Source organism: Homo sapiens, chromosome 2 (genome assembly GCF_000001405.40).
Source record: "Homo sapiens chromosome 2, GRCh38.p14 Primary Assembly".
Taxonomy (NCBI): domain Eukaryota; kingdom Metazoa; phylum Chordata; class Mammalia; order Primates; family Hominidae; genus Homo; species Homo sapiens.
This window is the reverse complement of record NC_000002.12, coordinates 190,552,240-190,575,853: the sequence shown is the minus strand read 5'-3', so window position 1 is coordinate 190,575,853 and position 23,614 is coordinate 190,552,240. Positions and strand designations below refer to the sequence as shown.

The window sequence follows — 23,614 nt, the reverse complement described above, 5'->3', positions numbered from 1 at the left end:
GATGGAGTCTTGCTTTGTCACCCAGGCTGAAGTGCAGTGACAGAATCTCAGCTCACTGCAACCTCCGCCTCCCTGGTTCAAGGGACTCTCCTGCCTCAGCCTCCCAAGTAGCTGGGATTACAGGCGTGCACCACCATGCCCAACTAATTTTTGTATTTTTTAGTAGAGACGAGGCTTCGCCATGTTGGCCGGGCTGGTCTTGAACTCCTGACCTCAAGTGATCTGCCTGCCTCGGCCTCCTACCTTTCCTTCAAGCAATATCCTTTAAAACCCAGAGTTGTATGTGAGAGCAAATTTAATTTAATCTCATCTATTTGACTACTTTATATTATCAGAAGTACTAACAAGCTGTGAAATGGCTCAAAAGAGAAAATGAAAGAGAGGAAAAGATTTTTTTAAAATGCCACAAACTGGCTAATCAGATCATGAACAGATGAGAGCTTTAAAAAGAACACACTTTTTTTTTAACCTTTAGTATTATACTACAAGGAATTTCTAAGTTTAGCAAAGTAAAAAAAAAAATTAGAAAAAAATAGTCTATTATATCAGATACTTTAGAATTTGAGCTTTGAATTAAAAATAATTGAGCAAAGCTTTGCAGAGTTAGGAGTGGGACTGCAGTGGGAGGGAGGAAGAACCACTTGTTGGGGATGGTGGGAAACTGGCATTCTGGGAGCTCCTGTAAAAAGAAACAGAGTCGGCTGGGCACGGTGGCTCACACCTGTAATCCCAGCACTTTGGGAGGGCGAGGCGGGCAGATCATAAGGTCAGGAGTTCGAGACCAGCCTGGCCAACATAGTGAAACCCCATCTCTACTAAAAATACAAAAAAAGTAGCCGGGCATGGTGGTGGGCACCTGTAATCCCAGCTACTTGGGAGGCTGAGGCAGGAGAATCGCTTGAACCCAGGAGGTGGAGATCGTAGTGAGCTGAGATCGCACCACTGTACTCCAGCCTGGGCGACAGCGTGAGACTCTGTGAAAGCAAAGAAAAGCAAAGAAAAGAAAAGAAAAAGAAGGAAGGAAAGAAAGGGGGGAAGGGAGGGAAGGGAGGGAAGGGAGGGAAGGGAGGGAAGGAGGGAAGGGAGGGAAGGAAGGAAATAGAAAAGAAAGGAAGAGAAAGAAAGGAAAGAAAGAAAGAGAAAGAAAAAAGAAAGAAAGAAAAGGAAGAAAGAAAGGGAAAGAAAGTAATTAGCTACCTAGGGTTGGGGGACAGGTCAGGTGATGAGAAGGTTTGGGAGTGTTGGTTGAGGGATATAGGCTTTTTTTTGAGATGATGAAAATATTCTATAATCAATTGTGATGATGGATACACAACTCTGTGAATATATTAAAAGTCATTAAATTACATACTTTAAATGGGTGACATATGGTATATGAATTATATCTCAATAAATCCATTAAGAAAGAATCTGTAAATATTAGGGCTTGAGAATTTATGGAATCTAGCTCATTCTAACCTGACTCACTCCACTCCAATTGTGAAACACTTTTTTTTTTCCATTCATAAGCACATATATCTTAACTGCTTTCAGGCATATTCAAGCCAAGAAAAATGAAAAAGGTGCTTGAGTTCATGAACTTTCTGGAGCAAGGGATTGAATTGTAAGCTACTGTACCTTTGACTCAATTTATTTCTGTTCATCTTGCAATAAATTTAAGAAAATAGAGGTTTTGTTGCAAGAATAAGTGTGAATTTCATAAACAAATGTTGCAAAGGAATTCACACAATGATGTAAATAGCAATAAAATAAAACAATGACATAAACTTCCAAAGACAAGGAAAAAAGAGAAAGAGGGGAGAAACGCATGAGGTTTGAAAGCCAGCTCTGCAGCTTCCTAGCTGGATGACATTTGGCAGAATGCTAACCATTCCAAGCTTTGTTTTTTCTCCCTTATAAAATGGAGGTTTTTATAATATTTCAAATTTATTCTGAAGATTAGTGATAATGTACACAAATGCCTGGCATATGGAAGGCATTGAATGAATAAATTGTATTAATAATAACTCTGAAACTAATGGCAAAAACCACAATTACTTTTGCACCAACCTAATATTATTGCAAAAGGACCCATAAAAATGCTCTACCATTAGTCCAACATCTTATGCATATTATCTCATTAATCTTGAGAAAACCTGCAGCAGTCAGGGTAGGCTAGGTTACGTTTCAATAACAGACAACCTCAGAGTCTCAGGTGCTTCAAAACACCCAAAGATTTATTTCTTGGTCTATTTACATATCTGTCACACGTTGGCTTGAGGCTCCACTCTGCCATCTTTACTCTAGGACTCAGGTTTAAAGAGCTGGTACTATCTGGAACATTTCCAGTCTATTAAAAGGAAGAAGTGGGAGAAGGGGAGGGAAAAGAGACAAACCAGGCATACGGCAAAGGGAGAAGAGTAGCAAATTACACACAGACTTTTAAAACATATACCTGGAAATTACAGGTTACTTCTGCTTCCATTCCACTGGCTAAAGCAAGTCCCAAGGTCATATCTGTCTTCAAAGAGATAGGAGATTACATTTTTAACGTGCATAGAAGATGGGAAAACAGAGTATTTGTCAACAGCCTTAATGATTAACACACAACTTTATGAGGGAATTACTTGTTTCCTCAACTTTAAAATAAGAAATCAGAGGCATAGGGAGAGTAAGTACTTGCCTGCAGCTATATAGCTAGGAAGTGACAGAGCAAGGGATTCAGACTCAAGTCCTGTGCTGCCTTGTGCTGTTTCTAGCCAGATCCTGAAAAATGAAAACAACCTACCTATAGGGATGTGTGAATGTGTCTTCCACCCACATTTATAAGAAAATGTCCACATTTTCTTTTGGGAACAAATTGGTAACTGTCTTCTCAGAAACCAATTTGGAACAAAAACATTAAGATTCATAAAATGTTTACACACCCTTTGACCTAGTAATCCTAGTTCTGGGAATTCATCCTAAGGGAATTATTCCCAAAAGATAAAATATATACATATATATATATATATATATATATATATATATATATATATATACTCATGAAAAGATCTATTGTGACGTTGTTTGTAATAGTGAAGAACTGGAAAGAATCTATACTTTTGACAACAGGAAGAATTAAATAATTATTGATTATACACTCAACACATCATTACAAAGCCACTACTTTATAATTCTGAAGACCATGTAGTAACATGGGAAAAAAGCTCTTGATATAATGTTAAGTAAAAAGCAAAATAAAATTATCTTACTATATTGCAACTGTGTGATACATTTGTGTGGCAAAAACTGCTAACATGCTCCATATTTGCTCTCCCTTCCTCCTCTTAGTAATAGAGTTCCTACCTACCAGGGATGCCCAGCTATGGACTACATTTTCCAGCCTCCCTTGAATCTAGTTATTGCCACATGACTAATTTCTTGTCAATAGAATATGAGCAGAAGGAATGTGTGTAACTTCCCAGTTTTGCCCAGAAAAAAACTTGTTGAGGCACATGTTCTATAGGCCTTATTTACCCCTACCTCCTAGAAAGGAAAGAGCAATAACTGAAGCAGTTGCCTTAGGTCCAAAGATGAAAGTCACAAGTTAATGGAAAGATACATTTTTTCCTTTTTTTCCTGAGATTTCTTTATTCTAACTTTTATTATTTAAAAAAGCTGAGAAAATATACTAGCTATAGTTTAAATGCAACTAATCATCAAAATTTATCTTAAATATTGCTTTTCTGGAAGGAAAACAGACCTTCTCTATTTGTGGGAACATTTGAGGAAACTTTAAAAAAAACCCCAGAAAATAATAAAGCAGCACATAGAAATGGCTTTTTGAATGGCCCCAATTTGGGCAATTTCATCATTTTGAACAGCTAGAAATGATTAGGGAGCATAACTGAGAAGGGCTCCAGGCAAGGCATGCTGTAGTGCAGGGGATGGGGAGGGGAGAGGTGGAGAGGGTAGAGAGACCAAGAATCTATGCAGCCCTGGGGCAACAGGAAACTCAGACTGTGTGTGTGGAGGGCAGGGAGGTGATCTCATTAGTACAGTCTATTAAAAGGAAGAAGTGGGAGAAGGGGAGGGAAAAGAGACAAACCAGTTATTGTTCAATTTTGCCAATGCCAACTCCTTTCCCTTTCATAATGCTACTATGGGATACAACATTTATTAGCTCAAGTAAAACCCTGTGGTTTGACTCTAGGGATCAGCATATCTACAAATGCAAAGCCAAGAAAATACTGCATACCTGGAAATTCGTAAGAGAGTGAATCTGATTGTCACAGCTACTTATGAGTCTAAAGGAAAAGGTTTATTATTATTATTATTATTATATTTTTTGAGACAGAGTCTCACTCTGTCACCCAGACTGAAGTGCAGTGGCGGGATCTTGGCTCACTGCAACCTCCGTCTCCTGAGTTCGAGCGATTCTCCTGCCTCGGCCTCCAGAGTAGCTGGGATGACAGGCGCCCACCACCACGCCTGGCTAATTTTTGTATTTTTAGTAGAGACAGTGTTTCACCATGTTGGCCAGGCTTGTCTCAAACTCCTGACCTCAGGTGATCCACCTGCCTCAGCCTCCCAAAGTGCTGGGATTACAGGCGTGAGCCACCGTGCCTGGCCAAGGAAAAGGTTTTAATTCAAGAGAAAGATGTATTAGTAGCTAAGTCTATTTTAAGTACTTTACATGTACTGTATTAACTTATGTAATCCTCCAAAATTCTATTAGATGGGTACAATTACTATTATCTCCATCTCACAGAAAATAAAACTAAGGCACAGAGCATTCAAGCAACTTTCCCAAGGTCACACAGCTAATGGATGGAAGCCAGGCAATCAGCTTCAGAATCTGAGTTTTTACCCTCTATCCACAGTGCCTAAATCATTAATAAATCCAACAAAAATATGTAATCGGGACTCCAAACAATAAATTTGCTAACTGGTCTTCCTTAATGCTTATGTTAACCTTTCTAGCAGTATATATAAAATGACTAATGGACAGATTGTTTTTGTTTGAAGTGAATTACATGGCAGTTACTAAAACATGTAAAGACATGGGTGCCTACTGAATATCCCTTTTCCCTCTTCTCTCTCAAACTAATAGTACTGCTATTTTAAGCTGGACATAGCACTACCCCACTAAAAGAACACATTTTGCATCCATGCTTACAGCTTTGTGTGGACATGTGACTAGGGAGACCCAAATGGAAATAGAATGGTGATTTCTGGGAATTCCCCCCTGGAAAAGGGTGCACTGTTCTTCTCCTCCTCCATCCTGTTGCTCCATCCTCCTGCTTCATCCTGTCTTTGGGGTGTGGACATTCTGGCTCCCAGCTCCGAGGAGGAGGCTTAGCTTCCTGCTAAGAAGATTACCTTGGCCATGTAAGAGCAAAAGCTGAAAGGAACCAGGATCCCTGAAGACAACGAGGCCACCATGCTACCCTTGGGCTGGCTTTCTCCAGAGTTCTTTTTACAGGAAGGAATAATGATATAAATTGTTTCAACTATTATATTGGGGTCTCTATTAAGTTACTTGTAGTTGAACTTTATTCAAACTCATTCATAAACCTAATGTTACATGTTTCCACTCAGATTTGGAAACATCAAAAACTCATTTAAAGATATGCAAATTTTCTTATACATTTTGTAAGTAAACAAATGAACAAGACTTTACCTAAATGACTATCAGACTATCAGTCCTTATAAGGGATTTTTATGGCAACTGTTCAAGGCAGTGCTTCCCAACCTTTTTTGTGATATGGCAACCAAAGACAATCATAATTGTACAACACTGGGTAAAACAATTTGGTTGCTCTTGTCCAGAGGCTACTGATCCAGGAGGACTGCCTACCCCAAGAGCTGTGGGGATCAATTTCTCAATTCCCTACTCCTAACCCATTCACCACAGCCCAGCTCTGATGGCATTCCACAATGAGTGGATTGTTTCTAATTACTGTTAAATAAAAATGGAATCTGCTGTAAATAAAAATGGAATCTGGGACTCATTCAAAAATCATTAAAGCTTGAGAAAAGTCATGTGAGTAAATTATTTATTGCACTTTATTGTTGGAGAAAGGGTCTCATTGCAAGACTAGTTGAATTACACAGAGGTAATTTCTTATTTCACATAGGGCATTTTAAAAAATGACTTAATTATTCACATGTACACTAAGTATTCCTTTTATATCCAAGATGTCATGGAAGCACCCTTGTGAGTCTAGGAAAAGAGGTGGGTTTTTCAAAGATTGAGTTTATACTATTGAAAACCAAGTTTTATCTGTAAGAGGAAAGAAGGGAACCTCCCTTAGTTATTTTCAGTCTACCAAGAGCTTCCAAATGTGTTCTCTCATTTACTGCTTATCTCCTGGTATGGAAGATGTTAAAGATTTTTAAAATTGGGAAACTACAAGCAACAAAGCTAAAATTCAAAGTTCTTAAATGTCCTCATGCCTGAATTCCTTCCTGGACTTTCCTTTTTTTATTTAAAATTTGTCTCAAGGTAATGGCCTCACAACTCTATAAAATCAATGGCTTAGTAATAATTACAGTGAAAATCAACTCCTGTCCTGCTCCCCAAAAGAAACCACTCTCAAGCTTTTCTCTTTTTAGCGTTTAGAATGTTTGCCTCCATATCTCAAAAATACATATATTGTCATTTTTCTTTCTAAAATTGTTTATATTTTCCATCTAAGTTATAAATGCACAGAGCTTTAAAAGCCAAATAGCTCCTCAAAGTCTAAAAGACAAAGAGCAGCCCTTTTCCCTGTACAACCTGCATGTTCTAATTCCATTTCCATTCCCAAAAGCAAACTTGCTCAAGTCTTTCAGTGTGAGCCACCACACCTGGCCTCAGCTGTTTCTTTTGGTGTTTATCTCCACATTTTAAACTGCTGTTTCTTGATTTTTTTTTCAGTTCCAGATATTATTATCTATGACTCCCTTCTGTGGGAGATACGGATTTAGTCTCTTACATTCTCTTCTTATTCTTTCAATATAGTTATATTACAGTGTTTTTCTCTGATAATTATTGAGTTTTTTGTTGTTTTGTTTTGTTTTGTTTTGAGATGGAGTTTTGCTCTTGTTGCTCAGGTTGGAGTGCAATGGCGCAATCTCGGCTCACAGCAACCTCCGCCTTCTGGGTTCAAGCGATTCTCCTGCCCCAGCCTCCAGAGTAGCTGGGATTACAGGCATGCGCCACCACGCCCAGCTAATTTTGTATTTTTAGTAGAGACGGGGTTTCTCCATGTTGGTCAGGCTGGTCTCGAACTCCTAACCTCAGGTGATCCACCTGCCTCAGCTTCCCAAAGTGCTGGGATTACAAGCGTAAGCCACTGTGCCCGGCCGATAATTATTCAGTTTTTACATAATTAAAATGACAAATATTATTCAAAACTGAGGCATATATATATAAGATTATATTGACACTTTTGGTACAAATTCCTATTTTCCCAGGAGTTGATTATTATTTTATTTGTTTGCATAATTTTCTACATGCCTATCACAAATTCATTCCCTATTCTTCACCAGAAGTGTAAACCTCCTCTTACTGCATTGATTCATAAAGTATTCTACAACAAATGATTTTAATTTCCTTAGTGACATCCTTACTAGAGCTGTGTGTCCTGTATTAATCTCACTTGTTGCTCTCCAGGTTTCCTGCAGAGCTGCTATGCTCAAATCACCTTCACAAAGATCATGTAGATTCTCTTTTCATCTGTAAGGTGATAGATCCCCCATTTCTTGGATCCAATGTCTTCCTCTTTCTTGTTTTCTTCCCCTTATTTTCTTAGATTATATCCTGCAGTAGCTTCCTGTAAAAGGATACATGAGACATAAGTTTTCTGAATTCCTCTGTTTGAAATTATCTTTATTCTGCTCTCACACTTCATTGATAGTTTAGCTGGGTATTGCATTCTAGGTTTAAAAGAAATTATCCTGGCTGGATGCAGTGGCTCACACCTGTAATCCCAGCACTTTGGGGGACCAAGGCGGGCGAATCGCAAGGTCAAGAGATCGAGACCATCCTGGCCAACATGGTGAAACCCTGTCTCTACTAAAAATACAAAAATTAGCTGGGCATGATGGTGCATGCCTGTAGTCCCAGCTACTTGGGAGGCTGAGGCAGGAGAATAACTTGAACCCAAGAGGCAGAGGTTGCAGTGAGTCGAGATCATGCCACTGCACTGTAGCCTGGTGACAGAGCGAGACTCCATCTCAATAAATAAATAAATAAATGAAATTATCCCTCATAATTCTTAAGGCATCGTTCATTGCTTTCCCTAGTCCAATATTGTAGTTGAGCAAGCAGTCTGATGCATTCTGATACCTACTCTTAGCATAAGACTAATTCTTTTTTCTTCTTCTGAAAGCTTTTGGGATTCTCTCATTATTCCCAATGGTCTGACACATCTCAATGATGTGCCTTGGTGTGGGCCGTTTTTTATTTGTTGTGTTGAGTACTTGGTACCTTCGATTTTTAGACATAGCCTTCAGTTCTGGGAACTTTTCTTGTATACTTTTTCCTCCATTTCTTCTCTTTCTTGAGCTCCTTGTAGTCAGATATTGTTCCTACTAGATGGATAGTCTAAGTCTCATACCTTTCCTTTCTTATTGTTAATCTACTCATCTTTTGGTTCTATTTTCAGCAGACTTCCTCAACTTTATCTCCTACTCCTACTACTGAAGTTTTTAAAATTATATTTTTAGTTTCCAAGAGCTCCTTCCTTTTTTATCTAATTGTTCTTTTATCATCGCATTCTGCTTTTATTTTATAGATACAAATCTCATAATTTTTCAGGCTATAAATTAGCATTTAAACAGTATTTTTCTATTTTCTATAGTTTCCCTTTATATTCCATTTTCTGTTTTTCATGTTTCCTCCTCTCTTTTAGGTTAGAGGTATGATTTACATGCCTCATGGTATTTTTTTGCCGACTTATATTTAAGAATAGAGCACTCAAAAGCTGACGAAGAGCTCTGTGTGGGTAGACGGTGTTTGTAGAGTGATGGGTTTCACTTTTGTATGGTATGGAAAACCTGTTATCTGTTGTATATTTAACTTTTTTGGGGAAAAAACCCCCTATATTTCCTAGGTGAGTGACTTCTGAATCTTTCTTTCCTTCCTTCCTTTCTTTTTTTTTCTTTTCTTTCTTTCCTTCTTTCTTTCTTTTCTTCCCTCCTTCCTCTCTCCTTCCTTCCTTCTTCCTCCCCTTCTCTTCCCTTCCCTTTCCCTCCCCTCCCCTCCCTTCCCTTCCCCTTCCTTTCTTTTTTATTTTCTTTCTTTTCTTTCCCGTTTTAAGACAGAGTCTTACTCCTGTAGCCCAGGCTGGAGTCAGTGTTGCAATCACAGCTCACTGCAGTCTCGACCTCCCATGTTCAGGTGATCTCACACCTCAGCCACCACACCCAGCTAATTTTTTGTACTTCTAGTACAGACAGGATTTTGCCATGCTGCCCAGGCTGGTCTCAAACTCCTGGGCTCAAGTGATCCTCCCACCTCAGCCTCCCAAAGTGCTGGGATTACAGGCATGATCCACTGTGCCCAGTAAACCTGACAGTAAGAAATTCTTTTTCATCAAGTCCCAGTCAACACACTCACATATATTTATAAAGACAAAAATGTTTTGTGAAACAATATTTACTTTCTCTTCATAGAATGCTCTCTGACATTCTCTATCTAGTCTACTGAATTTTATTTTCTTTCATGTTTGTGATGGACCATTATATATCCATTAGATACACTGCAATGAAGGGACTAGTTGCCCCAGACTGTGAGATGGCTGCTGGTGGGGACTCTTCAGTTGTTGGCCTTTTCAGGGATTGCTTCAGTGCAGAGCTGCCTTGCCCAGGGTCATACTTCCTGTGGCCATATCCAGTAAGGGTTGGGGGGTGGGGGGAGATATTAGTTTTCTAGGGCTGCCATAACAAAATGCCACAGATTTAGTGGCTTAAACAACAGAAATTAATTTTCTCACAGTTCTGGTGGCTGGAAGTCTCACTGTTCTTTGTACATGTGGGTGTCCCTGTGTGTCTTTCTCTTCTTATAAGGACACAAATACTCCTGGATTACTGCCCTATCCTAATGGCTTTGTTTTAACTTAATCATCCTTTCAAAGAGCATATTTCCAAATAAGGCTACATTCTGAGGTTCTCTGTGTTGGGACTTCAACATATGAATTTTGGGGAGATGCAATTCAGCCTATGACAGAGAATAAAGTCCTGGACATCTTGGCCTGGTGTGGGACAACTCTGAAAAGCCAGTCTAGCTTCAGTGCTCCTCGTGGGGCTGGGTGAAATAATCATTGGGTCTTGTATCACAGCTCGCATTCTCTTTTTGTCCAATTCTGTATCCTTCCACAGATATTGGTCCCAAGGACAAACCCTAATAAATGTTCTGAACTCTCAACTCCACCTCAAAGTCTGCTTCTCAAGGAACCCAACCCAAGAAAATGTTGGTTATGACCCATTAAACAGATTTTATACTCCACTAATCATAACTGAGTTCATAACCCACAATTTAGAAACATTGGCCTAGGGGTTAGTTCCCTGATTAATAGTGCTTTCATTGTGTAGGAGGGGAGAGAGCACAGATAATCCAACCATTCCCAGTGCAGACTTGCAATTCATTTGATTGTTTAGGTCCTCCTGCCTTCTTTCTTCTATCAGGCTTGGTTTTTCTGATGCTCAGGCCATTCCTACTGGGTGTCTCTTGATTAAAAAAAAAATTCGTATTTCCTCCTGGAGCAGGAGGGAGTAGCTTGGCTGCTGATATTCTGTATCTGGGGCACAAGAGTAGTTGACTGTTCCATACATAAGCTTTGAACTTATCTCAAACTTTGCACTCCGTACCTCACCCCCACTCTCTGCCAAGACTGATGACTCCAAGTCTTGAGCTTCCTTCAGGTCTTCAAGGTGAAATGTCTTATTTATCTTCAGTACACCCCACTGCACACACTTTAGACTATGGCTTTCTCTCCTTTTACATCAGTTAACCTTCCTCCATTCTCTTTCCAACAAATATTTATGAAATGTCTCATCTACTCATCACCCCTCTCCTGTTCTCTATTGAGAGAAGAGATATAAGAGATATGCCTGTGTTCATTCTGCCATCTTTAGCGAGAATCCAGCAACTAGAAACTTAGTGGCAGTTCTATCACCATGTGGCAGTTGAATGAGCCAAGAGGTCCTTACTTGTCTCTTGCTTTTGCACCCAGCTTGCACCTTTTTATATGTGGAGATTTTTACGTGAGAAGCTTTGCTTTAGGTGGGGATACAAAGTTAAATCATATAGATCTGCCTTAAAAGTCCTATGAGCCATTAAGAGCTTTAAGATTAAATATGATTCAAGAGAGAAAGTGATAAAATACATAAGAGGGCATAGCAAATTTTTGTGGAAATTTAAAGGAAAGAGTAGTTGTATTCAAAATCAAGAGTAAAAGACTGGTACATATAAAATTGAATAAAATTGGCCCTAAAGCTTAGTGCTGACAAGATAAAATGCCAGGGATCTGAAGCAAGTTTCCAGCCATGGATTGAGTGCTACTACATGTCAGGCACTGTGCTACACCTTGGAGAGATAAAAGAGAAGGACAAATGGTTCCTGGAGTTCACATTAGTTATGATATTTAAAAAGCAAAAAATAAATAAATAAGTAAACACAAATTCAGTAGTCCACTTCTTAAAATCCACTATTATACACATATTTCCTCTTCAAGATTGGATTCATAATATTGCAGAATAGATTCTGTTCACACCATGTGGCATATGATCTGAGCTCCTTGAAAGGATAAAAATAGTTGCCATGAATGGGAAGAAACTGCAGCAATATCTTTCTAATTCTTCATACTCTAAATACTCAGAGGACTCAGGAGTGACTTTAATTCTGGAACATTAGGATAGCAACATTAGGGTGATTCAGGGAAGCCTTTCTAGTAGCCTTAAAAACATAAACAAGTAGCAGAGGTTGGCCTCCCCGCCTCCCCTGGGGCCAGCCCCACAGAGTAGGGAGGCCTTGGCAGGGCTTTGATGAGTGGGCTGGCCCTTGTTTCTGGTATTGGCTCTGGAATTGCTCTGGCATAATTCACAGCCAATTAATCTTGTCAGGCAGCCTATTGATTCCAGCTATAGCTCAGACACCATCATTACAAATAACCATCCCAATAAGCCATTATCTCATTGGTGCACCCGTTCACTTCAAAATGTGAGTGAAATATTTCAATTTAGACAAAAGATGGGGAGTGTGTTTTCACTGAAACAAGTTACAATGCTCAAAGTGTATACATATACGTTGTGGTAGAGTTTTCAAAAATAGAAAATCCAATTATTGAGTAGAGGAAGTATTGAAAAAATAATCTAAGCATAAAAATGACTGTTTATCAACTACTCATTTGTGGATAAACTTGTTGATCAAGGAAAAAAACATAATGGTCATTAGAAAAAAATTATTCTCCCTCACCCCGCCACTACCGCCCAAAGCACATTCTTGAGCTTTGTCTGCTGAGCAGTGGGAGTGTGAAAACGTCTACCTGCGTGAAGGAGAGAAGATGAGTGGGTGGGTTTGTGGGAGAACAAACAAGAAGGTGGTTGAGTGGGTGCCGGGTCACTGGGCCTGTGTGGGAGGAGGCTGGGCCGCTGAGTCAGCGGGGAGCAGGAGGGCAGGTGCGTGTGGGTGATGAGTGGGTGGCAGGAGAACACAGCACAAAGCCACCTTGCATATGTGAATGTCTCAAGGAAACATTCCACAGGGCTGTATAAAAGAGCATTAGAAAACAATTAATTAGAAATTCTAGTCAGAAGAGGAAGAGCAAAGCTTTGCTGATAATGCTATCATACAGATAGTCATTTTGTGTTTATAAAATTTTGCTTTTCAGAATTATATTTGTGTTTTATAGCCTGATCACTGGAGGAGAACCTGCCACTGACATTGATAATGAATATTTCAGCTTATACATAGTTTTAGGGTGATCTCAGAGTTACCTCTATAAACAAGAGTGGCCCAAAACAGAGCAGGGGAATGAGTTGAAAACTCAAGGTTGAGGTAAACTCAAATTTCCCATCTAAAATAAGCCTTAAGACCCTAGGAAGAAAAGGGTACTTTTCTTTCCCTATGTGTTAGTCGATGGCATTTATAGTTCCTTTTGTAGCTATACATGATATTTAAAAAAATATGCCTTAAAATCTGAAATTGTAGCATAGATTTATATAAAGTTAGGGCAAAAAAGAGTCATAGAGACCATCTTCCCATATTTTACATATTTTCCCATATTTTGCAGAATGAATTAACTGATACTTAGAGAGCTTAAAAGGACTTGTCCAAGGGGTGGGATAGGAAATCTGTAAAGTCTGATCAATCAATTGATCCATCAATAAGCAAACATGGATGGAATGCAAAGGTGCCAGCCCCAACCCATGGCAGCCTCCAGGGAGAGATGTAATGCAGAAACTTGGAGGAAGAAGCTAGGGAGTGCTTAATGCTCCATGGAGAAGTGAGGCACTCTATGGGCTGGCACAGCTGGTTGCAGAATAGAAAGAGCCCCACCGTGGTGCTGCTGTACATATCTATGGGCAGATGGGAGGGACTGGGAACACTTAGCTCACTGTGTAACAGTGTGAGCTTCCTGGCTGGGAAGTCACTTTATCAGACCAGAGCTTAGCTATGGAGTTCACACCCCATTTCTACTGGTCTGTTTTCCCTTTGAGCTAATTCAGATGCTGAGCTTACTTCTTGGTCGACTACCCAAAGAGGGAAAAAACTATTTGGATTTTCTCTTTTCAGTCATCCAGGTCATCCTAAATCAAATATTTCTGGTTGCTCTCTTCCTTTTTACCAAAGTCCTTTAATTACCCTTTGAAAACTAGCTTTTCATTTACATTTCTATGTATTAAGAATATCCAGTCAAGGGCAAGATGAAACAGATGGGCAACAGTAACTACATAGTAAAATAAAAATTAAGATCCTCTTATTTTAAAAAATTTTAAAAGTTGGTAGCCTCTGAGACTCTTCCAGGGGCCATTAAAATAGAAAATCCACCTTTCTACCATGCAATTAAGCAACTGAGCTCATTATGTTATGAGAATAACTGTGACATTAATTGCAGTACTGGTATTTTGGCATTTATTTTGCAGAATATATAAATGCCTGTATTTGATTTTTAAAAAGATAGACATATATGGTGTTATGGACTGAACTCTTCCTACCTCTCCCACCAACCTCCCTCCCCCATCCCCTCTGCTAAAAAGTGTATGTTGAAATCCAAACCCTAGGACTTCTGAATGGGACTATATTTGGAGACAGAGCTTTTATAGAGGTAATTAAGGTAAAATGAGGTCATTAGGGGTGGGCCCTAGTCCAAACTGACTGGTTTCCTTATAATTAGGACATAGACTTGCATAGAAAAAGACCACGTGAAGACAGAAGGGGAAGACAAGTCAAGGAGAGAGGTCTCAGAAGAAAAACCTGCTGACATCCTGATCTTGGACTTCTAGCCTCTGGAAGTGTGAGAAAATAAATTTCCTGTTGTTTAAGCCACCCTTGCTCGAGCAGGCCAATACACATAGTTTTCATTATTTGCTACACATTGTCCCCAGGTGTTCCCTATCTGAGACAGGGTTAAGGTCCAAGACAGGGGTTTCTCTCTCCTACTTCCTGACTCTTCTCAAGTAGGATGATTGGAGAAGAAGGGCCTGTTTGAAATAAATTACTCTAGGAGAGGAGGGAAGGCCACAGAGAATGAGCGGTCCTGATGGGAGCAGACAGCATCAAGCCCCAGCATGGGAAGGTAGTAATGGGGCCTAGGAACCTCCTTCCCACTGCTCCATATCTCTCCTAGTCCTCGAGGAAGAAGCACTGGGCACACCTCTGCTCCACGTGAAATATTAACATAGTGTATAAATTCTCTGAGTATTTCTCAAAACATAAATGGTTTTGATTTCTGATGTTAGATATACTAATCTAATGATATTGTACCAACAAATACAGTATTTTGATATTTAAAAGTAACCTGAGATATAAAAACTGGTATTTGTATTTCTAATTCTACCCAGAGCTCAGCTCATTAAAGCTTACAGTTTACAGGATTGAGTCAAAGTGGCTAATCTTCCTACACACCTTGAGGATGTTATATGAATGAACCAAATGCACAATAAGTCGATGGCACTTCAAACAACAGACTAATTAACATTTTTTGGTTAGAAGTTAATAAATTCCTTGTCCAGAGTAGGCTCTCAATAAATATTTGTTGAGGTAAAAAAGAAGGTATCACCTAAGATCAAGTGGCATATTGGTTCAGATGTACAAAATTTTAATCCAGATGCTCAGTTTGTTTTTAAAAGAAGGTGATCCAAAATAATTAGGACAAATGTCATATTTTCTTTAATTTTACATTATGTATGCTGTTAGAGTATAATTTTAAAAAAGATAAAATGACTAACATGCAAGTAGAAATGAGTAGATATAGAAATTGTATTTAACACACTGAGATGAGAGAACAATGAGATGTTAAAACCGATGAGCATTTGAGAAGCTAGTCATATAGGCAGTTGAATAAAGAAAAAAAGAAGTGTGATCTAGTGATGAACACCAGCCTGGAGACCACTGCATTCATGATTTGCCTCTGCCTACTGCTTTCAACCCTCTGAAGCATTCCTATCCCAGCAGCAAAACTGCTTGACTCCCACCCACGGGCTCCTACCTTAAATCAGTCCTCTTTCCAGGCTGAAGAAATGGAAGTAGTTTTTATCTCTAACACAGCAACTCACCTGGCTTCTCATTTTTGCCCTGATCTTCTGCATCAGTACTTACAAGTGGTCTTCTGCTTTATGTCCTGAGTCTGGCCCACACATTGCACACCAGAGCTGATACCAGCCTAAATCCCTGTGCATCAGCTGCAGGCTTGGAGACCTGACCAGAACTGCCACCCTTTTAGGACTGAGCTTCTGCCTCACTCACCTCCTCCTTTTAGATACTGCCTATCTGCATCTGAATCCCAGAGCAAAGCTTGCAACTCTGCAATGGCTGACAGATTTCCCGGGTGCCAGCTACCTCCCTGGAGCAGCCAAACCTCACCTACTTCTGGACCTGCTGCCAGGGGCCAGGATACTCCTCTCCACTCACCTCCCAGGACATACCTGCTATGTTTACCACCCTTCTCCTCACAACTGCATGCCTAAACCACCACCTCTTTTTGTTGCTAACTCTGAGAATATAATAGCTTCCTAATTGCTAGACCTTGTCTTACCAGACCTTCCTCTAGCATTGGACACTGCTGACTGTTCCCTCCTGAAACGTCCTCTTCTTTGGCTTATGTGACACTCTACTCTCCTGGTTTGCTTGCCCATTTCTGTTGCAGGCTCTTCTTCTTCATCCTCTGAAGTGAAGGTGTTCTTCAGGGTTCTCTCTGTTCTCTCCTTGGCCTTCTCATTTGACTCTCTACACTCACCCTGACAACCTCATCTCTATTCCCTTGGCTTCCATCAGAACTCATACGCTCAAGGGTCCTGAATCTTTCATCTTTCTCTCCCACTCACACCTTCTTCCTGAGCTGCAACTCTCCTATCCAGTTACCTATTAGAGGCTTTCCATATACTTCAAAATCACTTCCAAATGGAAGTCAATTATCTTTCTTTCCAAACTTACATTTTCTGCTTTCCTAGTCTCCAGTAAATAGAATGGCCATTCAATCAAGCCAGAAACCCAACATTATCTTCATGGATAACTGGTAACCAATTCCAGTGGATTTTAGCTCCATCCCACTGCCACTGTCTTGCTTTATATTCTATTATTCTGGCCTATCTTCACTTTGAATGTTCTTGCTATTTCCCTTCTACCATCCTTCTTACATACTGCCACCAAAGTAAGAAAACATTGTGAAGTGCAACCAATTTAGTGAATCACATTAGCTTTTCTAGATGAAATAGATTAAAATGGAAAATGCGAGGGTAAAAAAAGTTTCATCATATTTTCTTTACATATAATATTCATATATACACATATATATATGCTATCCATAATCTGTGTATGAATTAGCATGCAAAGTGTCTTCCTTATTAATAGGTGATGGTGATCAAAGAAGTTCAAAAGCCATTCATCTAAAACACAAATCCTATCAGTTTACTTTATTTTTTGAAATACTTCATCGGCTCCTCTTTTTCCACATAATAAAGCCCAAATGTTTAGCAGAATCTTCAAACTCCTATGATGAGTCTGCAGCCTACTTCTCTTCACTCCTTCTCTTGGCTTCCACTTTAGGGTTACATGGTGGTATGCCAGAAGGTACTAAGAGCCACTGGATAAACCTGTATTATTACCAGCTATAACAATTTTACCTGCTGGCAAGTAGTGCAAAATATTCTTTTAGTATCTAAATAGCACAGATATATTACAAAATAGAATTTAAAGTTGGCATGAATTTTTTTTATTATCCTTTACGTTCTGGGGTACATGTGCACAACGTGCAGGTTTGTTACATAGGTATACATGTGCCATGGTGGTTTGCTGCACCCATCAACCCGTCATCTACATTAGGTATTTCTCCTAATGCTATCCCTCCCCTAGCCCCTAACCCCAAACAGGCCCCGGTGGGTGATATTCCCCTCCCTGTGTCCATGTGTTCTCATTATTCAACTTCCACTTATGAGTGAGAACATGCAGTGTTTGGTTTTCTGTTCTTGTGTTAGTTTGCTGAGAATGATGGTTTCCAGTGTCATCCATGTCCCTGCAAAGGACATAAACTCATCCTTTTTATGGCGTCATAGTATTCCATGGTGTATATGTGCCACATTTTCTTTATCCAGTCTATCATTGATGGGCATTTGGGTTGGTTCCAAGTCTTTGCTATTGTGAACAGTGCTGCAATAAACATATGTGTGCATGTGTCTTTATAGTAGAATGATTTATAATCCTTTGGGTATATACCCAGGAATGGGATTGTTAGGTCACATGGTATTTCTAGTTCTAGGTCCTTCAGGAATCACCACACTGTCTTCCACAATGGTTGAACTAATTTACACTCCCACCAACAGTGTAAAAGCGTTCCTATTTCTCCACATCCTCTCCAGCATCTTTTGTTTCCTGACTTTTTAATGATTGCCATTCTAACTGGCGTGAGATGCTATCTCACTGTGGTTTTGATTTGCATTTCTCTAATGACCAGTGATAATGAGCATTTTTTCATATGTTTGTTGGCCACATAGATGTCTTCTTTTGAGAAGCATCTGTTCATATCCTTTGCCCACTTTTTGATGGGGTTGTTTTTTTTTCCTTGTAAATTTGTTTAAGTTCTTTTTAGATTCTGGATATTAGCCCTTTATCAGATGGATACATTGCAAAAATTGTCTCCCATTTTGTATGTTGCCTGTTCACTCTGATGATAGTTTCTTTTGCTGTGCAGAAGCTCTTTAGTTTAATTAATCCCACTTTCAATTTTGGCTTTTGTTGCCATTGCTTTTGGTGTTTTAGTCATGAAGTCTTTGCCCATGCCTATGTCCTGAATGGTATTGGCTAGGTTTTCTTCTAGGGTTTTTATGGCTTTAGGTCTTACGTTTAAGTCTTTAATCCATCTTGTATTAATTTTTTATAAGGTGTAAGGAAGGGATCCAATTTCAGCTTTCTGCATATGGCTAGCCAGTTTTCCCAATACCATTTATTAAATAGGGAATTGTTTCCCATTGCTTGTTTTTTGTCAGGTTTGTCAAAGATCAGATGGTTGTAGATGTGTGGCATTATTTCTGGGGCCTCTGTTCTGTTCCATTGGTCTACATATCTGTTTTGGTACCAGTACCATGCTGTTTTTATTGCTATAGCCTTGTAGTATAGTCTGAAGACAGGTAGCATGATGCCTCCAGCTTTGTTCTTTTTGCTTAGGATTGTCTTGACTATGTGGGCTCTTTTGTGGTTCCATATGAAATTTAAAGTAATTTTTTCTAGATCTGTGAAGAAAGTCAATGGTAGCTTGATGGGGATAGCATTGAATCTATAAATTACTTTGGGCAGTATGGCCATTTTCATGATATTGATTTTTCCTATCCATGAGCCTGGAATGTTTTTCCATTTGTTTGTGTCCTCTCTTATTTCCTTGAGCAGTGGTTTGTAGTTCTCCTTGAAGAGGTCCTTCACATCCCTTGTAAGTTGTATTCCTAGGTATTTTATTATCTTTGTAGCAATTGTGAATGGGAGTTCACTCATGATTTGGCTGTTTGTCTGCTATTGGTGTATAGGAATGCTTGTGATTTTTGCACATTCATTTTGTATCCTGAGACTTTACTGAAGTTGCTTATCAGCCTAAGGAGATTTTGGGCTGAGACAATGGGGTTTTCTAAAGATACAATCATGTCATCAGCAAACAGAGACAATTTGACTTCCTCTCTTCCTAATCAAATATGCTTTATTTCTTTCTCTTGCCTGATTGCCCTGGCCAGAACTTCCAATACTGTGTTGAATAGGAGTGTTGAGAGAGGGCATCCATGTCTTGTGCCGGTTTTCAAAGGGAATGCTTCCAATTTTTGCTCATTCAGTATGATATTGGCTGTGGGTTTGTCATAAATGGCTCTTATTATTTTGAGATACGTTCCATCAATGCCTAGTTTATTGAGAGTTTTTAGCATGAAGAGCTGTTGAATTTTGTCAAAGGCCTTTTCTGCATCTATTGAGATAATCATGTGGTTTTTGGCATTGGTTCTGTTTTATGTGATGGATCACAATTATTGATTTGTGTTTGTTGAACCAGCCTTGCATCCCAGGGATGAAGCCAACTTGATCATGGTGCATAAGCTTCTTGATGTGCTGCTGGATTTGGGTTGACAGTATTTTATGGAGGATTTTCGCATCAATGTTCATCAGGGATATTGGCCTGAAATTTTCTTTTTTTGTTGTGTCTCTGCCAGGTTTTGGTATCAGGGCGATGCTGGCCTCCTAAAATGAGTTAGGGAGGATTCCCTCTTTTTCTATTGTTTGGAATAGTTTCAGAAGGAATGGTACCAGTTCCTCTTTGTACCTCTGGTAGAATTCAGCTGTGAATCCATCTGGTCCTGGACTTTTTTTGGTTGGTGGGCTATTAATTGCTGCCTCAATTTCTCTGTATTTCCTGAATTTGAATGTTGGCCTGCCTTGCTAGGTTGGGGAAGTTCTCCTGGATAATATCCTGAAGAGTGTTTTCTAACTTGGTTCCAATCTCCCTGTCACTGTCAGGTACAACAATCTAATGTAGAGTTGATCTTTCACAAAGTCCCATATTTCTTGGAGGCTTTGTTTGTTCCTTTTCATTCTTTTTTTTTAGCATGTCTTCTCGCTTTATTTCATTAAGTTGATCTTCAATCTCTGATATCCTTTCTTCTGCTTGATCAATTTGGCTATTGATACTTATGTATGCTTCATGAAGTTCTTGTGCTGTGTTTTTCAGCTCCATCAGGTCATTTGTGTTCTTCTCTAAACTGGTTATTTTAGTTAGCAATTCTTCTAACCTTTTTTCAAGGCTATTCGCTTCCTTGCATTGGGTTAGAACATGCTCCTTTAGCTCGAAGGAGTTTGTTATTACCCACCTTCTGAAGCCTCCTTCTGTCAATTTGTCAAACTCATTCTCTGTCCAGTTTTGTTCTCTTGCTGGCAAGGAGTTGTGATCCTTTGGAGGAGAAGAGGCATTCTGGTTTTTGGAATCTTCAGCTTTTTTGCACTGGTTTTTCCCCATCTTTGTGGATTTATCTACCCTTGGTCTTTGAATTTGGGGACCTTCAAATGGGGTCTCTGAGTGGATGTCCTTTTTGTTGATGTTGATACTATTCCTTTCTGTTTGTTAGTTTTCCTTCTAACAGTCAGGCCCCTCTGCTGCAGGTCTGCTGGAGCTTGCTGGAGCTTGCTGGAGGTCCACTCCAGACCCTGTTCGCCTGGGTATCACCAGCAGAGGCTGCAGAACAGCAAAGATTGCTGCCTGTTCCTTCCTCTGGAAGCTTTGTCCCAGAGGGGCACCCACGAGTTGCCAGCCAGAGCTCTCCTGTATGAGGTGTCTGTCGGCCCCTATTGGGAGGTGTCTCCCAGTCAGGATACCTGGGTGTCAGGGACCCACTTGAGGAGGCACACTGTCCCTTATCGGAGCCTGAACACTGTGCTGTGAGATCCACTGCTCTCTTCAGTGCTGCCAGGCAGGGACGTTTAAGTCTGCTGAAGCTGCCTCCACAACCGCCCCTTCCCCCAGGTGCTCTGTCCCAGGGAAGTGGGGGTTTTATCTATAAGTCCCTGACTGGGACTGTTGCCTTTTTTTCAGAGATGCCCTGCCCAGAGAGGAGGGAACCTGGAGAGGCAATCTGGCTGCAGAGGCCTTGCTGAGCTGCAGTGGGCTCCGCCCAGTTTGAAATTCCTGGTGGCTTTGTTTACACTGTGAGGGTAAAACCACCTACTCAAGCCTCAGCAATGGTGGACACCCTTCCCTCCACCAAGCTCCAGAGTCCCAGGTCGAGCTCAGACTGCTGTGCTGGCAGCAAGAATTTTAAGCCAGTGGATCTTAGCTTGCTAGGCTCTGTGGGGGTGGGACCTGCAGAGCCAGACCACTTGGCTCCCTGGCTTCAGTCTCCTTTCCAGGGGAGTCAACGGTTCTGTCTCCCTGGTGTTCCAGGCGCACTGAGGTATGAAAAAAAAACTCCTGCGGCTAGCTCGGTATCTGCCCAAACAGCTGCCCAGTTTTGTGCTGGAAACCCAGGGCCCTGGTGACGTAGGCACTGGAGGGACTCTCCTGGTCTGTGGGTTGTGAGGACTGTGGGAAAAGCGCAGTATCTGGGCCGGAGTGCATGGTACAGTGCCTAATGACTTCCCTCGGCTAGGAGAGGGAGTTCCCCTGACCCCTTGTGCTTCCCGGATGAGGCGATGCCCCACCCTGCTTCAGCTCGCCCTCCTTGGGCTGCACCCACTGCCCAACCAGTCCCAGTGAGATGAACTGGGTACCTCAGTTGGAAATGCAGATATCACTCGCCTTCTGCATTGATCTCACTGGAAGTTGTAGACCAGAGCTGTTCCTATTCAGCCATCTTGCCAGCAATCTCTCTCAGCATGAATTTTAAGGTAAAAATATTAGAATGTAATAAAAGAGTCCATGGAGATGTAGGACAGGATCCTCCTCTCTGCCTCTCGGAGCACTCAGGAGTAAATGTTTGAGAAATGCTGCCACAATCACCAGAAATGTTCTGACATGGTCCTCTCACACCTATCATGAATCAAAGCTACTCATGTTCAGCAACACGCAGATTTTGTGATGCCACCTGGAGCTGCTCAAGCTACAGGCTCCACAAAGCTCTCTGCTGAAGTGGATGTTAGCTAGCACGAAAAAGCAAACCAGAGGATTTGTAGTCAGAAAACCTCAATTCAAATGCCACTCCTGTCACTTACAGGCTTTAAGGTGCTAGACAAAGCTTTTAGCCAGACCATGAGAGTGATCTGCCTGCAGCACCTGTCACCCTGTGGGTCCTCTGGGAGTATATGACTGATAGAGCTGACTAGGCAGGTTTCTACTTCTTTCCACATGCTACACAGGGATCTCACCAAAGCTGAGCCCTTGGTGGAAAAGTGAACACTTTGCAGGTAGAGGTGGTAAGAGTCCTTCTTGCTACAATCTTAAATCAAGTCATTTGAGTTCTCTAAGTTCAATTTTTTTTTTCTGACGAAGAATGGAATGCATAATAACAGTATCTCCCTAAGAGGACTATTTTGAGGATTAAATGAGGTAGTGTATGTGAAAACACTGTGTAAATAGACCTCTTCCTCTACAATAATAAGAATTGTTGTTTTTTAGTGTTACAGCTCTTTTAGAATTTGTCTAGCAGCTTTTCCAGGAAAACCCCTCACAAAAAAAAAAAAGAAATTGTTATTTTTATAATATTCTGCTTACGAACTGCTTTGTACCAAAGTTTTGTGTAAATTTGGTTTCCATTAATACTTGGAACACTTAATTTTTTTTAACTGGTTCTAGGACACAGATATTTTCTCTCTTTAACCATACCAGCAGTAGACTGAAAAAAATACACTGCTATACAATTCTTAGAGGATTTTATAACATTGAGAACACATTCCCTAAACTGTTGAAGTTACAATTACATTATCAAAGCTTAGAAAGTTAATACCAATTTACCATTTCTGATTCTTGTGAAAATGGGGATTCTACGTAGCAAAGAGAATTTTTTTTTTTTTGAGATAGGTTCTCACTCTATTGCCCAAGCTGGAGTGCAGTGGTGGGATCATAGCTCACTGTAGCCTCGAACTCCTGGAATCAAGCAATCTTTCTGCCTCAGCCTCCCAAGTAGCTGGGATTATAGGTGTGTGCCACCACTCCTGGCTATTTTTCTTTCACTGGTAGAGATGGGGTCTTGGTATGTTACCCAGGCTTGTCTTGAACTCCTGGCCTCCTGCCTTAGCCTCCCAAAGCACTGGGATTACAGCAGGAGCCACCTTGACCAGCCAAAGAAGAGAATATTTTTAATCTATTCAGTGGGTTCTGGGAAGATGACAGTGGCAGCAGTATATTTTAAAATCCAAATCTCAACATAAAAACAGAGTAACTACTTAACAAAATAAAAAACTCAGAGACAATATTTATAATGACTAGTTACCAGGCATCCACACTGATGAATGAAGACGAACCACCAAACAGCCACAAGACCTGAATTATAT

General features: G+C 40.3%; 1 protein-coding gene, 1 long non-coding RNA gene and 2 pseudogenes across 13 annotated transcripts in view; 3 read left to right on the top strand and 1 right to left on the bottom strand.

Moving 5' to 3' along the window:
• NEMP2 (nuclear envelope integral membrane protein 2) overlaps positions 1 to 23,614 on the top strand; it is a 227,365-nt gene that overhangs the window by 72,932 nt on the left and 130,819 nt on the right. The window lies entirely within an intron of this gene.
• NEMP2-DT (NEMP2 divergent transcript) overlaps positions 1 to 23,614 on the bottom strand; it is a 104,691-nt gene that overhangs the window by 63,675 nt on the left and 17,402 nt on the right. For 4 of the 9 annotated variants that reach the window (NR_183907.1, NR_183910.1, NR_183909.1 and 1 more), the window contains one exon: positions 6,004 to 7,781. This is a non-coding gene — a long non-coding RNA (NEMP2 divergent transcript). Of the gene's footprint in view, positions 1 to 2,195; positions 2,330 to 2,434; positions 2,497 to 2,662; positions 2,746 to 6,003; positions 7,782 to 23,614 lie in introns of those variants that run through there. The other 5 variants (NR_183902.1, NR_183905.1, NR_183903.1 and 2 more) reach the window with 4 other exon arrangements.
• RN7SKP179 (RN7SK pseudogene 179) lies at positions 22,374 to 22,590 on the top strand (annotated as a pseudogene).
• LOC124906136 (uncharacterized) lies at positions 22,737 to 22,789 on the top strand (annotated as a pseudogene).